The sequence below is a fragment of the Homo sapiens genome, chromosome 17 (assembly GCF_000001405.40).
Source record: "Homo sapiens chromosome 17, GRCh38.p14 Primary Assembly".
NCBI lineage: Eukaryota > Metazoa > Chordata > Mammalia > Primates > Hominidae > Homo > Homo sapiens.
The window spans coordinates 33,378,330-33,398,198 of NC_000017.11; the positions used below are offsets into that span (position 1 = coordinate 33,378,330).

General features: G+C 44.7%; 1 protein-coding gene across 1 annotated transcript in view, besides 2 other annotated features; it reads right to left on the reverse strand.

Annotated features, from left to right (window-relative positions):
- ASIC2 (acid sensing ion channel subunit 2) overlaps positions 1–19,869 on the reverse strand; it is a 1,143,682-nt gene that overhangs the window by 365,243 nt on the left and 758,570 nt on the right. The gene's annotated exons all lie outside the window — the stretch shown is intronic.
- Positions 2,551–3,051: an enhancer, noted in NCBI's record as "H3K4me1 hESC enhancer chr17:31707898-31708398 (GRCh37/hg19 assembly coordinates)". NCBI's record gives its function as "activates a minimal SCP1, AML or CMV promoter by ChIP-STARR-seq in naive H9 embryonic stem cells {active_cell/tissue: H9 hESC(naive)}" and the evidence as "EXISTENCE:reporter gene assay evidence [ECO:0000049][PMID:30033119]".
- Positions 3,052–3,552: an enhancer, noted in NCBI's record as "H3K4me1 hESC enhancer chr17:31708399-31708899 (GRCh37/hg19 assembly coordinates)". NCBI's record gives its function as "activates a minimal SCP1, AML or CMV promoter by ChIP-STARR-seq in naive H9 embryonic stem cells {active_cell/tissue: H9 hESC(naive)}" and the evidence as "EXISTENCE:reporter gene assay evidence [ECO:0000049][PMID:30033119]".

Consider the following 19,869-nt stretch of genomic DNA (forward strand, 5'->3'; position numbering starts at 1 on the left):
TCTGATATTTAGTGAATTCCTAGACAGAGAACATCTGGACTCTAAACCCCAGAGGCTTCCTCAGCTGGTTCAGAGGGCTAGCAGCTGCAGGCCCTCCCATGAATGATGGGTTTGTCTGCAGGCCCAGGGAAGTGGGCTGTCCCTGCAGGCCTCCCCTCCGCCTCACCCATCCTTCCTGCTGGCTCCATTCTGGGTGGTTCATGCTCTGCCCCTTGACACTCTCTGATTCCTCAGTGTGGGTAGAATTGCCTCAAGAAGTAAGGTGGTCAAACTGACAAAATATGTAGCAAATTAGATTACGCAGCAGGCTTTTGGTGAGAGGTGATTTTAAAGATGCCAGTGATTGGAAATGAACTGGCAGGAAGGCAGCAAATCTCAGAAAAATGTTAGATGGTGGGGATTCTTCATATCAGTGGATGTTTCTACTTAACTGTGGCTGTGCCACGGCTTCATTTCTTAGGCCTTGATGTTGTCCACCTGAAATGGAGCTGAGCTTTGGATCTGGACAGGAACAGCAATGGAGCAAGGCAGTTGGAATCTGACACAGCAGAATGAACTTGAGATTTGGAGGGCAGAAATCCTTGTGAGTGACCTGGGGCAAGTGACTTAACCTCTCTGGGTCTTATTTTCCCAACTACTTTCCAGGGTTAGTATCATGATTAAGTGACAGCCAGTACATAGGGAGCATACTTTGTAACTAAAAATTATCCACAGGTATTAGCATTTAAGGGTTATTGGAGCATTAAATGAGATAACATATGGGAAGCATACAGTTAGTGACTGGAGCAGAGGAAAGGACACATAGTTGGTGGCTTTCACGGGTAGTGATGGTGATGGTTTTAGGAGGTGACATGGTGTAGCCCTGCCTTCAAATGCAAGCTCTGTCACTTACTTGCTGTGTCAGAGACTGAACAAGTTACTTACTCCTCCTAAGCCTTGTTTTTCTCATCTGTAAAAGGGGGCTGATAATATCTTACACTCTGGCAGTTGCGAAGTTCAGATAAACTCAGCAAGGAAAGCACTCAACGCAATGACTGGGGCACACTCATAAGTTATTTACCCCTTTGTCAGAAATGAGAAAGCTGTTTGGTTCTAAGCACTTTATCCACAACTGGTCTCCCACATATCCAGATTTTATAGGACTCCTAGCTCCTGGGACCTTTTAAGGGGGTGAGGATTCCCGTGGATGCCCCAGTATTTTCTGAGGGCTTCTGTTTCGCTCTTCAAACCTCACACTCACACCTTTTGCCTCCCTCTCGCACCTTGTGCTGATCCTTTAGGGAGCCCTATATGATGCAGGCAATAGACCAGCTCCATTTTCTTCCTAGGAATGTGGCGAGGACCATCAAGGTGATCTGCATCACCTTTAGATGATCAGCTATGGTTCACACATTAGTTACTGCTCTTATTCATTTTACCGTTGCTAATAGAGGGCATTGGTGGTGAGGCCAAGGGACTGCCTGGCTCTCAAGGTGAAGATGGGTGTTAAAGAGAACAAACCAAGCTCACTCTATTCCATGTACATCTCTTTTATTATCATTTAAACTTGACTTTAGTATCTGGCACCGAGTAGGAATTGAGTGTCTTGCACAGAATAGGTCCATAGTAGGAATTTGTTAAGAATTGGTTACAGTTGCTGGGCACGGAGGCTCATGCCTCTAATTCCAGCACTTTGGGAGGCTGAGGTGGGCAGATCACTTGAAGTCAGGAGTTGGAGGCCAGCCTGGCCAGCATAGTGAAACCCCATCTCTAGTAAAAATACAAAAATTAGCCGGGAGTGCTGGCACGTGCCTGTAATCCCAGCTACTTGGGGGGCTGAGGCAGTAGAATCGCTTGAACCAGGGAGGCAGAAGTTGCAGTTAGGTGACATCGCGCCACTGCACTCCAGCCCAAGCAACAGAGGGAAACCCTGTCTCAAAAAAAAAAAAAAAAAAAAAAAGAAAGAAAGAAAGAAAGAAAAAAAGAAAAAGAAAAGAAAAGAAATGGTTACATTGACTCTTATCATGTACATGATGATGATGATGATCATGATGCGTAAACATTGATTAAGTGCCTACTGTATGCTAGGCACTCTATGTGCATGCTATTTAAATTCTATCTTTGATGTAGAAAGTGTTACCTTCATCTTATGCAGGAGAAAAAACAACAAGGTCAGGGAGGTCAGGGAGTGACAGGCTTCCATCACACAACAGCCCACGACAGAGACCCATCTGTCTCCAGATGTTTTACATCCAGAATCTATATTCTTCTCCTCAGGGTCTAGGCCAAGCTGTCGCTGGAAAGTGGTCATCAGCTTTTCAGTGGTTGATCCCTCTGCTGCCTTGGAGAGCATAGTCATGGGCTGTGAGGCTGCCTCCTTTGTCCCTCATCAAGGATGCAACATTCCCCAAAGAGCCCTTGAACTGCAGGAGGCCTGAGTATGGGTCTGCATTTTTAAAAGGCGGAGGTTCCTTCTCAAGTGCCTCATAATTGCTGCTATTCCACAGATTGGCAGCCCTGATGTTCCTTTGGCCTCTGAAAGGTCCAGTCTCTCTGTGTGAAATCAATGGAGTGGCACCTGGGTGGCTGACCTTCTTCAGGCTACACTCCTTACTGTGCACCCTCTGCACACTTGCCTAGAATTGCCCCAGTGAGAAAAAAGTGGGCCAAAGAGGCCCTTGGAGGGATTTGTATTTTAAAGAAGAGCTGGAATCTCGGCTCACAGTTCGAGATGGCAGGGTTTGGGCCAGGAGAAGGAGAACTGTGGCTTTTCCCAGCAGGAGCTTGTAGCACTTGGCCGGTGGCTGTGCTTGCTTTGTCCGTAGAGAACAAAGTGAAGAACTCTTATTCCATCTCCAGCAGACATTAATGTTGTTCAGAGAGGATTTATTGGCTCTGAAACCAAAGCTAGCCGTGTTATTTACTGGAAATGCCATGGCAGGAACTCTCCTTTTTAATAAACCAGAGGAAAACCTGACTTGTTTGGAGCAGGCTGGTTCACACCCATCCTGGGCTGAGGCACCAAGAGCATGGGGGGAGGAACTTTCTTTGCTCAGGCGCTGCCGCCTCTGCCTCTCACAGCTGGAACCAGTTGCTTTCATGCCCAGCAAGTCCAGCCCAGCCGCAGGCTTCCTTCACATAGCCTGCTGGTCTGGGCTTCCGGCAGCATCTGCCTGTGTGCTTTCATCCAGGAGGATAGGGAAAATGCTGGCCCTGGAGTCAGATAGTTCCAACTCAACTCTGCTGCCAGCAGTATGTGCCCCGGGGGGGCACTGAAACTCTCTTTGTGAGGTGTGGCTAGTGATGATAACACCCACTTGGGAAGTTCATTTGGAGGAGAAAATGAGAAAAAGTATAGAAAGAGCTGCTCATGGTATCCGACACAGGGTAGGTGCTCAAAATATGGTAGCTATTCCTATGATCATAAAGGATATTAAAGCATAGGTCATGGCAAAGTCAGGCCCAGCCTCAAATCCCAACTCCTCCATTACTAGCCGAATGGCCTATACCAAGTTCCATAAAATTCTCTGAATCTTGGATTCCTTTGCAGAAATATAAACTGTACTTTGTTCTGAGGGTTACTGTAAAGATGAACCAAAGTGAGGGATACACACTGGCACTGTTTTTGATGCATAAGAACTCAGGGAATGCGTAGTAATATATATTTAATTGCTGCATGGTGGGTGTTCAATGCCCCTCAGTTCTTTGTTGTAGGACCCCATGTTAGTCCCACGTTGGATCTCCCTGGTGCTGAAGGGTTGTACTGTGCTCATATTGTTGTGGGTCACCTGCTCTGCCAGACACCGGGCGCTGTCTCTGCACTTGACTTCCTTCCAGGACTCAAGTGGGAGAAATATTCTCAGCAGGTGGGCCTAATTCCTGTTCCAATACCTTTCAGAATCCATCTGAACTTAGGGCAGGAATCTGGGCCATGCAGAGCTCAGATTCAAAACAGGATGCAAACAGACACAGATTAAAAATGAGAACCTTTTTTTCGGTTGAAAAGAAGAATCGATGATGCTGAAGTTTTAGACCAAATTTGTTCTTTTCCAGAGACACTACACTATGGATACGGTGGGAGGCCTCTCTATCAGAAGGCTGGTGAAAGATATGTCTCCAGACCCCAAAATGGCCTTCTTCACAGCAGGAGGCTGCATCAAAAGCAGTATCTCTTATGCTACAAACACAAGTGATGGATCCATGAAGCTTCAGCCCCATACTATGTGAAGTCACATAAGGAAAATAGGAAGGTGCCCATCATGGGTTTGCCCTGCAGACCTATTACATGTCAGACACTGTGCTGCATAATCCACAAACAGCTCATTCGATTCCCTGTAACATGAGTTTGACTATCCTTGTTTTATAGAGGAGGATATTGAGGATCAGAGAGGCTAAGGAGCTTGTGCAGATTTCACAACTAGTAAGTTCTCTGAAGCAGGGACTGCGTCATCTTCATCTGTTCATGCACCAGTGGTAAACAAAATACTCAGTACATGTTAGCAGCTTGACAAGTGTTGTAGCAAATGAGGACAAATAAATTTTCTAGCCTTGTTTTCTACTTACCCCATACTCCCAAATTTCTTACTGTTTCCCAGACTTGCCATGTCTCTTTCTGGTCCATGTTTTCAGGTCTGCCGTTCCCTGTGCCTACAAGATCTTTCTCCTGTCTTCACCTAGAAAACTCATTCCCTGCCCACAGAATGAGTTCAGGGAATATAAAAAACAAACAAACAAACAAACAAACACCACACACAAAAAAACAAACAAAAAACCTCCCATTCCTTCTTCAAGACCTACCTCAGATGTCAGCTTTTCTGTGAAAAATTTTTAAAGTCCTTTCAGTAGAGTTAGTATCTCCTATGTTGGGTCCCATAGCAATTTGAGTACCCCTCTCTTAGAGCACTTATTACGTGGATTTCAAAAAGTGATTTTATACCCTTTCCTTTCATTAGATCATGAGTGGTTTGAGGGTGAGGCCATGTTGGGATTGCCTTTGTGCCTGGGTGTCTATATCTTGGAGGGAAAACCATGCCTTGTCTTCTTGGAAATATCCCTTAAGCAGATTCACTTCTTTTTTAATTTGAAAGTAGCATGTTCGGCTCCTACCTCCTGGGAGTGGAAGGTACTTCCCAGGTTGTTGATACCAAGAAATGGATACGCAGAAAATTATCATGAAGTGACTGGCAATTCCAGGCTTTGTGGCAGAAACTCATCCCAATATCAATAGTAAATTGATCTTTTGACTCATACTTTGCTTTTCTGTGAGTTTGACACACGTGGATCAATTCCTCCATGTCTCACTGTCTGGACATCTAGAGACAGAGTCAGGTTAGCCCCCACCAGGGCCCCACCCTGGGCCTCTGCTCTTGGCCTGACAAATTCAATGTTTCTTTCAATGACTCAGACAAATACAATGAGCTTTTGCTCATCACATTTTCAGATGACAAAACAGTGGCAGGGATGGTGATTATGTCAGATGACAGAATCAGGATCCAAAATGATCGCAATAAGCTGGAACAAAGGGTCAACCAATTTAGCAGGGATTAATACTGGGTCCAGAAACTAACTGCACAGGGAGGGATTGGAAGGGGGTGGCGTGACTTAGCAGAAGCATCAAAGGCTTGTTTACTCAGGAGTGAGTTAAACACAAACCAGAGAGTGGTGTGGCTGTTAGGAGTGGAAGCTAAGCATGCATTATTAAAAGTAGAGGAACTAGAAGGAAGGAAGAGATTGTCTCCCTGGACTTGGCTGTTGTCTGTCAGCACCTGGAATGGGATACTCACTTCTGGCCCCCACCTGTTAAGTAGGGCTTTGTCCCAAAGTGGTTCATGTCCCTAGGAAAGTGATCTGATACTGAGACATCTCAAATCCAAGAAACCTAGGGAATGTTACCCTGTAGAATAGGCACTTAAGAAGGAACATGATTGCCCTTTCCAAATACCCAAGATTTTGTCACATTGAAGGGTGATTTTGTAAGGCTAATGGACAGATTTAATATTAATTGGTAAAAGTGTCAGCCAGACATATCTCTGTTCTATATAAGAAAGAATGCTCTAATAAGTCAGTGCTGTTCACTAGGAGAATGAGCTGCCCTGTGATGCTAGGATCTTTTTTTTCTGTGAACTGATTGTCAGGAGTGTTATGGGAGGGATTATGATGTCGGAGGGAAGTATCAACTTCCAGGTGCCATCCACATTTGACAGGCTAAAATTCCAAGTTATGTCTGTTTACCTGTTACTTTAACACTGTGAGTTTCCCTAGACTCCCCCAGTCCAGTGAGGAGGAGAATGGAAAAGTGGGTATTATTAGAGATGCACTCCATGCTGTATCTGTTCTGCCAAGGGCGGATTATTGACCTTGGAAGAAGGACGTGTCCTTCAGTCCTCTCTGTGCTCAGATAGAATTCTTTCTGTAAGGTTCCTCCTTTTCCTTTGCAAATAGACTTAGCCCTCTAGGCCAGCCCAAGCCAATCTGAGTCCCTAGAACATGAGCCCAAGTCCCCTTAACTGGTACTCACACTCCTTGATAACTATGTTGTTTACATTTCATATCCATGGGTCTCATATGCCCAATGCCATCATAAATACCCAGAAGGCAGGGCCATCTCTTCTGATGTGAAGCCCATCCCCCATAATGCAAGGATTAGGAGTGAATGCTCTAAAGTCAGACAGACATAGGTCCAAATTCCAAATTCCATTTCTCTCCTTTATTAGCTGCATGGGCTTGAGCAAGACATTAACCTCTCTGGGGCTACTTGTCTGTAAAATGGGAATGATAACAATACCTGCCTCATACTTTGTTGTAAGAATTAAATAAAATGTACAAGTGAAGAACTTAGCAAAATGTTAACACAGGTCAAGTGTTCGACATGCATTAGCCACTAATACTCTGCTGTGAGTATAAGACTGAATAGACTATCTTTGGCTGCTGCCCACTCTTCAGCCTGGGTTTTTCCCGGGCTCTTCACTCTGGCCTCCCTCCCCAGCCCCTGAGCCCCTCCCTTTGGGTTTCACCAGGAGCTGTTCTTTTCAGCACCCTGCTTTCTCCTGAGTGAACCCCACCATTTAAGCTGTGGCCACTGTTCCTGCATCCCACCGTCTGTCTTCAGGGTACATCACTCTCTCTCCTCCCACATAAAACCGTTCCAATTCTGACTCAGATTTTTCTTATTTCAGGGGTAAGCTGTTCTCTCACATGCCTTGCATTTTAACAACTTTCATTACTATTGCTCATTTTGATCTGTTTAATAACATGTTTTAAACTAATCTCTTGTAATAAAAGGATTTCATTACTAATGGAGACAGCTGCGTAATGCAGCAAGTTCATTAGTTTTACTTTTCTGATGAGGCCTGCCGGAGTGAAAAGTTCTGCAACTCTGCAGAGTTTTGGCAGGAAGCTTTGCCTGGTGAAGCTGAGAAGAAAGAAGTGTCCAGTGTGAGGACAGATCCATAGGCTGCAGAGAGAAAAGACACAAACTCTGCAGTTTGTGTCTGCAAAGACTGGGTGGAATGGGCAGAGGAATCCCTGTCTGGAGGCCAGGTGATAACTGTGAGGAGGAATGGCAAAGCCCTGATGGAGATAAGATAGTGTACTGTGAGCCAGGGGCTCTTATGATGGTGATCAGCCAAGGTTTACAGGACCCACCTGCCGGACTGCTCCCTCGCAGAGATAATGACACCTACCTCTCTACCTTGGCAGTTGTCTGTTACTATACACATAACGTGATATTTACTTATCTAACAGACTGAAGGCACTATGTCTTATTCACCCCTGTATTCCTAGTATCTATCCAGACTGGCACAAGGAGATGTTTGCCAAACTGAAACAAATTCTTTTCCCTCTCTATTTTCTCTCTATGTGCTCTCTCCCAAATATATGCAGCTTCAACAGCCAAGTCTAGGCTGATGACAGAAACTTTTATCTCCACCCTTGACCTCTAGAGACCCACCTGTATCCCTAGGTGTCCACTTTGCTTCTCCATGTGACTGTCTGTCTCATATTCACCTTCTACTTCATCTATCTAAAGCTGGATTTCTCACTTTCCCCTATATTCCACCTCTCTTACCACCCCTGAAGCTTTCCAAGAGTTATTCATTCCAGTGAATGGCACCACTGTATACTCAGTTGAAAACCTGGGAGTTATCCTTGCCATCTCTCTCTGCCTTACTGCTGTGATCCAATTAGTCACTAGGCTATATTGATTTTACCTATTAAATAGAATTTGAAACCATCCACTTCTCCCTCAATGACTTTACTGCCACCTCTCTGAGCTGCAGCCATCCCTCACCTGGACTCTAATTTATACCTAATGCCACATCATTCTCCAACCAGGAGCAAGAGTGATCTGTTGGGTCACATACGCCCCTGCTCTATGGTTTTTAACCTAAGAGCAATCCCATTAACATCCTTAATGTGGTCCATGGGTCCCTGGAAAGAGTGGCCCCTTCTGATCTCTCGGCCTCATTTAGTGTCATTTACTGCATGACTCGCAGACTTCCTGCGTGTCTTTTATTTTAGTTCCTCCAACACATCAAGTTGCTTCCCTCAGAACCTTGGCCTTTGCATTTCCATGAAGACCTCTGAGTGGCTCGTGTGTGACTGGCACTATGCTAAGCGTTTACATAAATTCTTTGGGGTGTGTGTGTGTGTGTCTGTGTGTGTGTGTGTTTTGACAGAGTTTTGCTGGGATTTTAGCTGCTTTAGAGTTTAGCTGGGTTTACAGGCCCCTGCCACCAAGCCCGGCTAATTTTTGTGTTTTTAGTAGAGATGGGGTTTCACCATGTTGGCCAGGCTGGTCTCGAACTCCTGACCTCAAGTGATCCATCTGCCTCAGCCTCCCAAAGTGCTGGAATTACAGGTGTGAGCCACTGCACCTGGTCATTTACATGCATTCTTTCATTTACAAATCACAACAAAGCTAGACAACAAGTACTCTTCTATCTCCATTTTATAGATGAAGAAATTGAGGCTCAGAAAGATTAAGGAACTCATCAAAGGATTCAGACCCAGCTGTGACCCAGTCCTTGCGGAACAAGCCAAGTGCTAACAGGAGTGTTTGTTGGCTCTTTTCTCAATCAGATGTCCAAGTCAGCAGAGGGGACTTCCTTCTCAACCAGGGAGTTAGTCCTGTACCAACAGAGAAATGGTTAGGACCTTTATCATTTTTCTCTTTCTGCAACCTCTTTCTCATTCTTCTGGCAAGACACAGACCCTCTCTCACCTAGCCAGATGTAGTAGGCTGAGCAATTCTGCGCGCCTGCGCCACTCCCACTTTCCGCTGCCCCGAAACAAATCAGATCAGAGTCTCTGGAACCTGTAAATGTCACCTAATATGGCAAAGACGCTGCAGCTGTGATTAACTTAAGGCTCTTAAGATGGGGCCATTACCCTGGCCCGGAAAGCAATCTTCTAAGAGAGAGGTACATACAACAATGTAACTATAGTTAACAATACTTTATTGTATACTTGAAATTTGCTAAGAGGGGAGATCTTAAATTTTTTCACCTAGGAAGAAAAGGGGAGGCAGAGGAAGGTTTGAGCACAGACAGAAGAAAAGGCGATGTGAATTTGATACCAGCCTGGCCAACATGATGATTTCCCATCTCTACTAAAAATACAAAAATTAGCTGGGAGTAGTGGTGCGCACCTGTAATCCCAGCTACTCAGGAGGGAGAGGCAGGAGAATTGCTTGAACCCGGGAGGCAGAGGTTGCAGTGAGCTGAGATTGAGCCACTGCACTCCAGCCTGGACAATAGAGAGAGACTCCATCTCAAAAAAACAAAGCAAAGCAAAACAAAACAAAACAACAACAACAAAACAAACAAATTAAAAAAACAAGGCAATGTGATCACTGAGGCAGATTGAAGTGATGTGGCCACTGGCCACAAGCCAAGAAATGCCAGCAGCCAGCAGAAGCTGAAAGAGGCGTGGAATCGACTCTTCCCCAGAGCCTCTGGAGGGGGTACAGCCCTGCTGATGTCTTAACTTCAGCCTAGTAATACGTATTTTGGACTTTTGGCTTCCAGAACTCTGACAGAATAAATATCTGTTGTTTTAAGCCCCTCACTACATGTGAGAATGGGCCCAGGACTGCTGGCCACACAGTTTTCACCTTTGTAGAAAAGGTGATCTGATCAAAGTACACCCATACCACAGAGAATGAAGGTGGGTGGAAGTTCCAGCCATCCCAGAGGCTGGCTGCTTACCCTCTACCCCACTTCTCATGTGTGCATATTCATGGATGGTCTTTTCCCCTTTCTTAAGGATACAGACTTTTATCAGCAGTGATCACTCATTCACCAGGATGGCTCTGACTGCATTTCTAGGAATAATTTGGTCCAGACCTGCCTCTCATGGTAATTGACTAGTTCACCACATGGCATAGACTAGTGCTGTGAGCCCAGGTGTCTCTTAGTACAACCTAGGCTCTGCTGTGGTAATCAATGCCTGCCCCACAATTTCAGTGACTTAATATAGCAAATGTTCACTTCTTGCTCACACAAAGTCCAAGGCAGTGTGGCTGCACTCCCTGTGGTAACCCAGCAATCCAGGCTGCTTCCAACTTGCAAGACCTCCATCTCAATTCATGGCCTCTGCGGCCACATCAGCAGCCCTGAGCTCAGGAGCTCATGAAGAAGTTACTCCCACTCTTGTTTGTTTGTTTGTTTTTGAGACAGAGTCTCACTCTGTCACCCAGGCTGGAGTGCAGTGGCACAATCTTGGCTCACTGCAACCTCTGCCTCCCAGGTTCAAGCAATACTCATGCCTCAGCCACCCAAATAGCTGGGATTACAGGCACAAGCCACCATGCCTGGCTAATCTTCGTATTTTTTGTAGAGACAGGGTCTTGCTGTGTTGCCCTGGCTGGTCTCGAAATCCTGAGCTCAAAGCAATCCACCCGACTCAGCCTCTCAAAGTGCTGGGATTACAGGCACGAGCCACCGTGCCTGGCTCTCTCCCACTCTTAACTGCACGCAAACAGATGGCACAATGTATCCCTTCTGTTTACAGCTCATTGACTGCAACCAGTCACCTGAGTCTGAACTTAACTGCAAAGGAGGCTGAGGAATATTGATATGAACACTAAAAGAAGAGGAAAATGGATATAGTAAGACTTACAAATGAATACTACAGGGAGGTCACCCCAATTCTGTTAGTGGATTCTAGGCTCAAAGGGAAATCTCATCAAATATGAAATATTGCTGGGCAGGGTTTCAGCTAATATGTCAGCAGAGCAAAGACAACATGAAAAAACTATGAGGCTAGCTGTGATGAGTGAGGCTGGGTAGGAAATTAATGATGACTCATTCAGGACTAAGACATCTAGCCCATTAGTTAAATCTGTCTGCAGAGGAAAGATCAAGGAAGAGATTTGGAAAGCACTTATCACAATAGCCCCTGACAAGAATATTCTGTCTGTCTTCATGCATGTGAATCTGTAGGCAAGCATGCATTCCTGAAAATCCTGAGATACTTGGGAAACTATTTATGAACAGGAATGATGATAAGATGAGTTTGGGGAAATGAGGCTTGAGCACAAACAACATTTTCCAAGGGTTGTGGGTAAATAACAATGATGAGTGAAACACAATACACTTCATCAAGCAAGTACGAATGACCAACTCTGTGCTGGGCTCCATGTGGAGCCTCAAGAATCACGGCCTGCTGAGGCCCAGCCTGAGACTGGCACATGCTGCTCCTTCTGCTTGAAATGTCTCTTTCTGGCTGGGCGTGGTGGTTCACGTCTGTAATTCCAGTACTTTGGGAGGCTGAGGCAGGTGGATCACTTGAGGTCAGGAGTTTGAGACTGGCCTGGCTAGCATGGCAAAACCCTGTCTCTACTAAAAAGACAAAAATTAGCCAGGTGTGGTGGCACACGCCTGTAATCCCAGCTACTCAGGAGGGTGAGGCAGGAGAATCACTTGAACCCAGGAGCCGGAGGTTGCAGTGAGCTGAGATCACGCCACTGCACTTCAGCATGGGCCACAGAGCGAGATTCGGTCCCCCTTCCTCAAAAAAAAAGAAGCCCCTTTCCCTCTTCTCTTTTCTTCCTTTAGTGAACTCTTCTCTTTCTTTAAAAGTGCAGCTCAATTGTTTTGTTTGTATTCATGTAGTTAGTAATTATATATTGCTATGCAACAAATAGCCCCAAAATTTTGTGGCTTAAAAAACTCACCATGTATTATCTCAGAGTTTCTGTGCAATCCAGGAATCCAGAAATGGCTTAGTTTGGTGCCTCTGCCTCAAGGTCTCTCACAAGGCTGTAGAGTGTCTCCCAGGGCTGAAGACTCAACATGGGACTTCTGTGGTTGTTAGTGGAATTCAGTTTCTTGAGGACTGTTGAAATCCTCACTCGGCTGGGAGCCAACAAGTCCTCTGCCGCTAGGACCTCTCCACAGGGCAGCTCATAAAAGGGCAACTGGCTTTACTCAGAATGCGTCAGAGCGCACGGGACATCATGCAAGACGAGAGCCTCAGTCTCTTTGGAACACAGAGACAGGCTCTTTGAGTCTGTTTGTCATCTCAGAGGTAATATCTATCACTTTTGCCATATTTTCTTCATTAGAAGCATGGCACTCAAGGCTAACCCACACTCAAGGGGCAGGGATTACATAAGTGCTTGAATACAGGAGGAAGAGATCACTGGAGCTGTCTGAGAGGCTGCCTGCTGCATGCTGCTTTCTCCAGGATGGAGCAGCTGGCAGACAGAGAAAGAGGGAGGAAATTGTATAGCCTCCACAACATCTCTAACAAGTCTTCCTTAATCTTCTCCTAACAATGTCCCAGATTCTGATTTGCTGCTCAGAATATGAGAGCTGAAATGGACTTTAGAAGTTATCTTGTCCACTATCCTTATTTTATAGATGATGAAAAATACATAGAAGGGGTGTATGGCCTTCCAGAAGGGATAGGATTATTTGCAGAATGGGACCTAGAACTCAGGTCACCTGCTTTTTCCAAGTGAACTTCATCCTTCTACTCTCTCCCACCTACTGTCTTCCTGATCTTTTACAACTTGATCAGCATTGGTCATTTTATAGAAATTATTCTCTCAAAGGTCACCTAAAAACATCTTGGTCAAGCATTCAATCATGAGTTACTTTTTGAGTTCTCACCTCTTTTGGCTTCCATGAGACCACAGAGGTCTGGTCCTGGCTTCTCTTAGTCCTCCCCCTGCACTAAGCAAAAAGTTTTTTACAATATCCCAGAGACTCAGTTCTTTGCCTTTGCCCTTTTCCTGACATCTAAGTCCTTGATGGACTTATGTGGTCTCAGGACTTTGACGATCACCTCTCCTTGCCTTGACCTTGAGTTGCACTCAATTCCCCCAATATCTAAGTGCCTTGACCTTGAGTTGCACTCAATTCCCCCAATATCTAAGTGCCTGTTGGGCGTGTTCACTGACATGTCAATGTTAATCATATATAAACTCATCCATGTTAGTATGAAGACCTCCAACTATCATTTATTGAACTCATATATGTGCCAGGTCCTATGTTAAGTGCTTTAATTATATTTTCTTATTTAATCCTTCCAAGAACACTCTACAGTAAATAATAATCACATTTTGTAGATGAGAAAACTAGGCTTAGAGAGGTTAAAGTGACTTGTAGGATATCCTATAACTTACAACTGATCCATGTTCTTTTGATTCCAAAATTTTTGCTTTTAAGCACTGTACTCATGATCTCCCCAAAACCGCTCCTCTGGTCTGTCTTATTTCTGTTTCTGTTTTGCCCTTCGCCAATGGATTCAAAATCTTGGAGTTTAAAACATGCTATCATGTGGAACACCTCTAACACCTCTATGTCTTTGCATGTGTTCTTTCTGCCTGAAAGTCCCCTTTTTCTTTCTTTTCCTTTCTTCCTTCCTTCCTTCCTTCCTTCCCTCCTTCCTTCCTTCCTTCCTTCCTTCCTTCCTTCCTTCCTTCCTTTTCTTTCTTTCTCTGTCTCTCTTTCTTTCTTTTTTTTTTGACAGAGTCTTGCTCTGTTACCCAGGCTGGAGTGCAGTGGTGCGATCTTGGCCCACTGCAACCTCCACCATCTACTGAGTTGAATAGATTCTTATGCCTCAGCTTCCCAAGTAACAAGGACTACAGGTGCCCACCACCACACCCAGCTAATTTATTGTATTTTTAGTAGAGACGGGGTTTTCCCATGTTGCCCTGACTGGTCACAAACTCCTGAACTCAGGCAATCTGCCTGCTTTGGCTTCTCAAAGTGCTAGGATTAGGGGTGTGAGCCACTGCACCCGGCCCCTTATCCTAATCATCAGTATGCATCTCCTCCCCTGACCTCCTCCCCTCTCTCCTGTCACCACACTGCCAAGATTATTACTTCTTCCACGGTGTCACATGGTCAAGTCACAGTGAGCTTGAAATTTGCCTCACTGGCTAGGTCTTGCACAGGAACCAAGGCATCCTAATGTTGAAATGGTGCCAGAGAATGCCCCTATGACAGTAGCTAATCCCTGAGCTATAATGGTTTGGATATCTATGGGCATTCCTCTGAACGCTATACTTTATAGAAGCAGAGACCATAAATGTTCACCTTTGCAGCTCCTGTCCTGGCAGCAGACACATGGTAACCTAGTCATCTTTGATGCATCTCATTCCTTTAATTCCCACAGCTAATTAGTAGATAAGCCCTGCAGACTGTTCTTTGTTAGATTTTTCTTATCTCTTTCTCAATTTCAATTTCTCTAGCCCCCATCCCAAGTCTATGTCTCCTACCTCTCATGCAGCCCATTGTAATCACTTCCAAACTCACCTCCTGGCCAGCTCCTTGCTGCCTTGTCCGGTTCATTCTGATGATTTCTATTCTATTAACATTTATTTGTACACATTGCTTGCCTGCTCAATGGCTCCCTGGTGCCTATAAAATAAAGCCCAAGCTCCTGATCTTGGCTTTCAATAATCTTCCCAATGTACCTTAATGACTTATCCCACCCTCCAGTCTCAGAGTCATTGTGGCACTGTATGAATGACCTGTTGTAGCCATTCACCATGGCTTTAATGCTCCTCTGAGTTCCACTTCCATGTCATCGCTCATGCTTTTCCTTCTGTTTGGAATGCTCTTCCTTCTCCCGCCCACATATCTGAACTGTACCGTGTGTTCACATCCCAGCTTAATCCTCACTTCTCCACCAGCCTTCTCTAACCACCTGAGCCATAGCAACTTTCCTCATCCAGTGTAGGAGAAAAAGCTTGAACCACACTATCTGAGAGCTATGGATCAACATTTCAACCATCGACTAGTTGTGCTGCTTTGGGAAAGTTATATAACTTCTTAGGCTTAGCAAAATGGGAATAATAAAACCTATCTCATAGGGCTGTGGAGAGGATGAAGTAGGGGAATATATGTGCTGAAAGGAAGTTCCAGTTGGTGATCTAAGTTATGGCATCCTAAGATTCAGATGGAACCAGGCACACCTGGGGGTTCATGGAGTAGACCCACAATGCCATCCTGCACCAAGAGGAAGAACTCATCATCCATGATGTCTAAGAGTCCAAGCCACTGGGCTTGACTGAGGCCATATGTTGCTGACAAGGACCAAGCATGGAATGAAGGGTCTGGGACAGGGGACCATGCTTCTCAATTTAAACTCCAACACTTCTACTTAGCCATGTAATCTTGGGCAAGTTTATTCACCTCTTTATGTCTCTCTTTCCTTGTTTCCAAAGTGGGGATTAAATATGGAATCTATTTGATAGGATTAATGTGACAATAAGTGAAACACGCATAAAGAGTTTAGCACACCTCTGGCACACTGTAAGCTTTTAATAAATGCTAACTATTATGTTTTATATTGTTATTCTCCAGCCTAGTCTCTATGGAGTTTGCTACATCCCAGGGTGACAGGGCTATAAGTAAAAATGGAAAGAGATGTTTCACTAATCATCCCTGGGGGAGCCCAGTGGGAGCAGAGGGAAGCCTGCTCCTAGCATCTGTTATAGAGGGTAGTGTAGGTGAGAATGGTGCCACAGAAAACAGCCTAAAACTGGGTCACCCATCAGAAGGGGTAGAGCATCAGCTCTCAGCCCTGGCTGCAAGTTGGAATTTGGTGCTTTCAACAAATGCTGATACTTGGGCCTCACCACCAGAGTTTCAGATTCAAATTACTGGGCTGGGCCCACATATGGATTTTTTTTGAAAGCCTCTCAGGTGATTCTATTGTGTAGCTAGGGTTGGAAAACACTTGGTCAAGGAAATACAGTGGTCAAGGTTAGAATAATGTGAGCAGGGTATGAGGGACAGAGAGAGAAGAGGTTCAGAGACTAGAGCAGAGCTGAGGGGACATGATCCCAGAGACAGGGCTGGGACTAGGGTGAGCCAAGTGAGGCACCCAGGGAGGCAAAATTTGTGGACAGTGAGTGCCTCCTTAAGTTTTGTACCTTAGACTCCTAACTTGCTTCACCTTAGAACATTCCTGCCTAGAAACATTCCTGGGGGCTTGCAGCAATGTCTTAAATGTTTCCCATGGATGCTGGTATTGGTTGGTCATGTCGTTTTTGAATCATATATACAAAAAGGGAAAAGACTAAATTTCTACTCTCATTGATCATACATCCATCCACCTACCCATCTGCCTATCCATCCTTTCATCCACCTACACACCCACTCATTCATTCACCCATCCATCCACGCATCCATCCATTTTTCCATTCACCCATCCATCTATCCATCCATCCCTCCCTCCCTCCCTCCACCATCCATGCACATATCTATCCATCCTTCCATCCACCTACCCATCCATCCACTCATCCATCATTTATAATTTCATTCATCTTTCTATCCACCCATCAATCATCCATTCTTCTACTCATCCACACATTCCCCCCCACCCACTCACCCACCCATTTACCCATCCACCCTTCCATCAACCTATCCATTCATCCATCCATCCGTCCATCCATCCATCCATCTTTCCATCTGTATTAGTCCATTTTCACACTGCTGATAAAGACATAACCGAGACGGGCAATTTACAAAAGAAAGAGGTTTAATTGGACTTACAGTTCCACATGGTGGGGGAAGCCTCACAATCATGGTGGAAGGCAAGGAGGAGCAAGTCACATCTTACATGAATGGCAGCAGGCAGAAAGATCTTGTGCAGGAAAACTCCCCCTTATAAAAATCATCAGATTTTGTGAGACTTACTCATTATGACAAGAACAGCATAGGAAAGACCTTTCAATTACCTCTCACTGGGTCCCTCCCACAACATGTGGGAATTCGAGATGAGATTTGGGTGGAGACAGGGCCAAACCCTATCACCATCCATCTGTCCATCCATCTATTTGTCCATCCAGTCACTCCTCATTCACCCGTTTATTCATTGAACAAAAATATATTGAGAGCCTATTATACGTAGACACCTTTGTGGGCATGTTGGGAATTCTGTCTCTGGCCTTATGATGGGGAAGACCAGAAACTTTGGAGCCAGGGTCTGGGACAGAGGGGCAAGGCAAGTGTGATTTTCCCATGAGATGCCTGGTAATTTGGAAGAAAGAGCAATGACTTTGGCACTTACCAGTTGACGGATTTTGACCATACTTCTTAACCTCCCCAGATGCACTTTCAAAATTTATGAAATGAGAACATTAGGTGGTGGGGATGATTGAATAAGCACCTAATCATATAAGGCCTGATTCACAGTAGATGTTTATAACAAAGGCCAGAGAAGCTGTAAATGGAATTGGAAGAACCGTCAGACTCTTGTCTTTCACTTTTTAATCAATTGGAGGAGAATATCAGATTTTCCCTACCTAAACAGACCTCGTCATAACCAGAGAAACTTAAAACTTGAGATTAGAAGGAATGGTCATTTAGTCTCATTCCCTCATTTTACAAATAAAGAAACAGACCCAGAGAGGGGCAGTGCCTTGGCCAAGGATGTGTAGCAAGAAGCTCAGGATACTCAGTCCAAGTTCTCATTGCAGCATCCAGGAGCAGATGCACCTCTGGCTTCTGCTAAATAGAAAATCAACCTTTGTAACAATTACGGTTCTGAAACTGGAATTGTCACAATAGAGACAAGGATCAAAATATCACATTTCCTGAATATCTGCTATGTACTAGGCATACATAGGCCTGTTATCTCACTCAACCTTTATAAGAACGCATGAAATGAAGTATTATGATTATTTCCTTTATTTTACCGATGTGGGAAACTGAGGCTCAAATAAATTAAGTGATTTTCTCAGGAACTTATTGCAGGGAAGTGGTGGTGCTGGGCTGGGACCTAGGTCTTTGTGACTTCAAAGCTCATACTCTCTGGGCTTTACCTCATTGCCTCACTTATAGAAGTGGCCCCCAAATAATTTATAAACATCTATGTGCCTAGGACTGTCCCTAAATCACTCATTTGAGGCTAAGGTAGAGGACTGATAGCATTTCTCATCATGGGGACATAGTTAGATCACCTGTCTAACAGTCTTTCATATAATCCTGAAAATATATCAGAAGGAACTTCAGTGATGGAGATAGGCATTGGGAAATTTACCTAGTCCACTTCTCTGCCTCCTCAAGTACCTGAAATTCTGCCATTAGCTGTTCATTTCCTGGCTGATTTGCGGCTCTCATCCTGAATAACTAGAAGTAGGGATGAAGGCACTGTAGGTTATAATAGCTAGGCACAAGTGAGTTTATTCTTCCCTCCCCTACCTGTTGAATTCTGACTCATCTTTCACGGCCCAGCACAAATGTCATCAAACACTAGAACTTACAACATATTCCGAGTCATCCCTCTGTGCTGTGGGGTAGGAATACAAGGATTATTAAGGAAGCACAGGTCCTGCCTAGATTGCTCACTGCCTGGTGGGAGGCCAGCTGAGAAAATGCACAATTACAGTGCAAGGTGGAAAAGACAACAGAGGACACAAACACAGAGGTGTTCAGAGGGGACTCCCAACCCTAAAGAGGGTGGGATCAGAGACTATGCCTGTTGCCAAATTCCCCTGGAATACAGTTTCTCCACCCTTAGTTCTCACCTAGCACTTTGCATGACCCTGTCAAAGCACTTATCTAGGCTGGCCATTTGTGAAGGTCCATTTCTTTGTCTGTCTTAGGATGTGAGCTCCTTTGGTAGAAGTCACTCTGCTCTGTAGTCCCTGTAACTAGCAGGGGACCTTACATGCAGCAGGTGCTCAGTAAATGACAATTGAAGGAAATAATTAGAGGAAATATGGGATGGTCTGAAGACAAGAGATTGGTGGCAGGATTAGGAAACTTAGAAGAATGATATAGACATGTGAGGGGAGAGAAGCTGGTGGCAGCAGGTTCCTCTAAAGAACATTGGATCTACTTTTCATTTTTACTAGAACTGTCCCTGGGGATCTGGGACAGGGTAGAGGCCAAGAGATAGCCCTTGGAACCCTAGAGAAAGAGATTCTTCAGCCTCCCATCACCCCATCAGCAAAAGGTCAGTGCAACAAGAAAGCTCAGGGCATAGCTCAAGGCCTAGCTGGAGGAGCCCCATTGGGCATTTTCCATCTTCCACTTCTACAACACTTTGATTTGCTCTTCATGTTGATTGAGATCCCAGTTTTATTGCAAATAATTAACTGCATCATATTTTAAAATCGTTCTTTAGTCGAATCTTATTCTTTTTGAGTCACAGTGATTTATATTTGCCAAATAATGACCTTCTCAATCAGGATCATAGTGGAAAAAAAATCTTAGAGTGTGAAGTTTCACATGATGGTGGGAGCAGTGCAGGGGATGGAGGAACTACAGGGAGATGCCTCTGTCTATTCTCTTTCCTTGGTGTCCTGACACTAACCGACTCTATGTTTTTGTTTTTCCTTGGCTTGACCACCTTCTAACATACCATATAGTTTACTTATATACTGTGTGTATTCTTTATTGTTTATCTTCCCCTTCTACATTA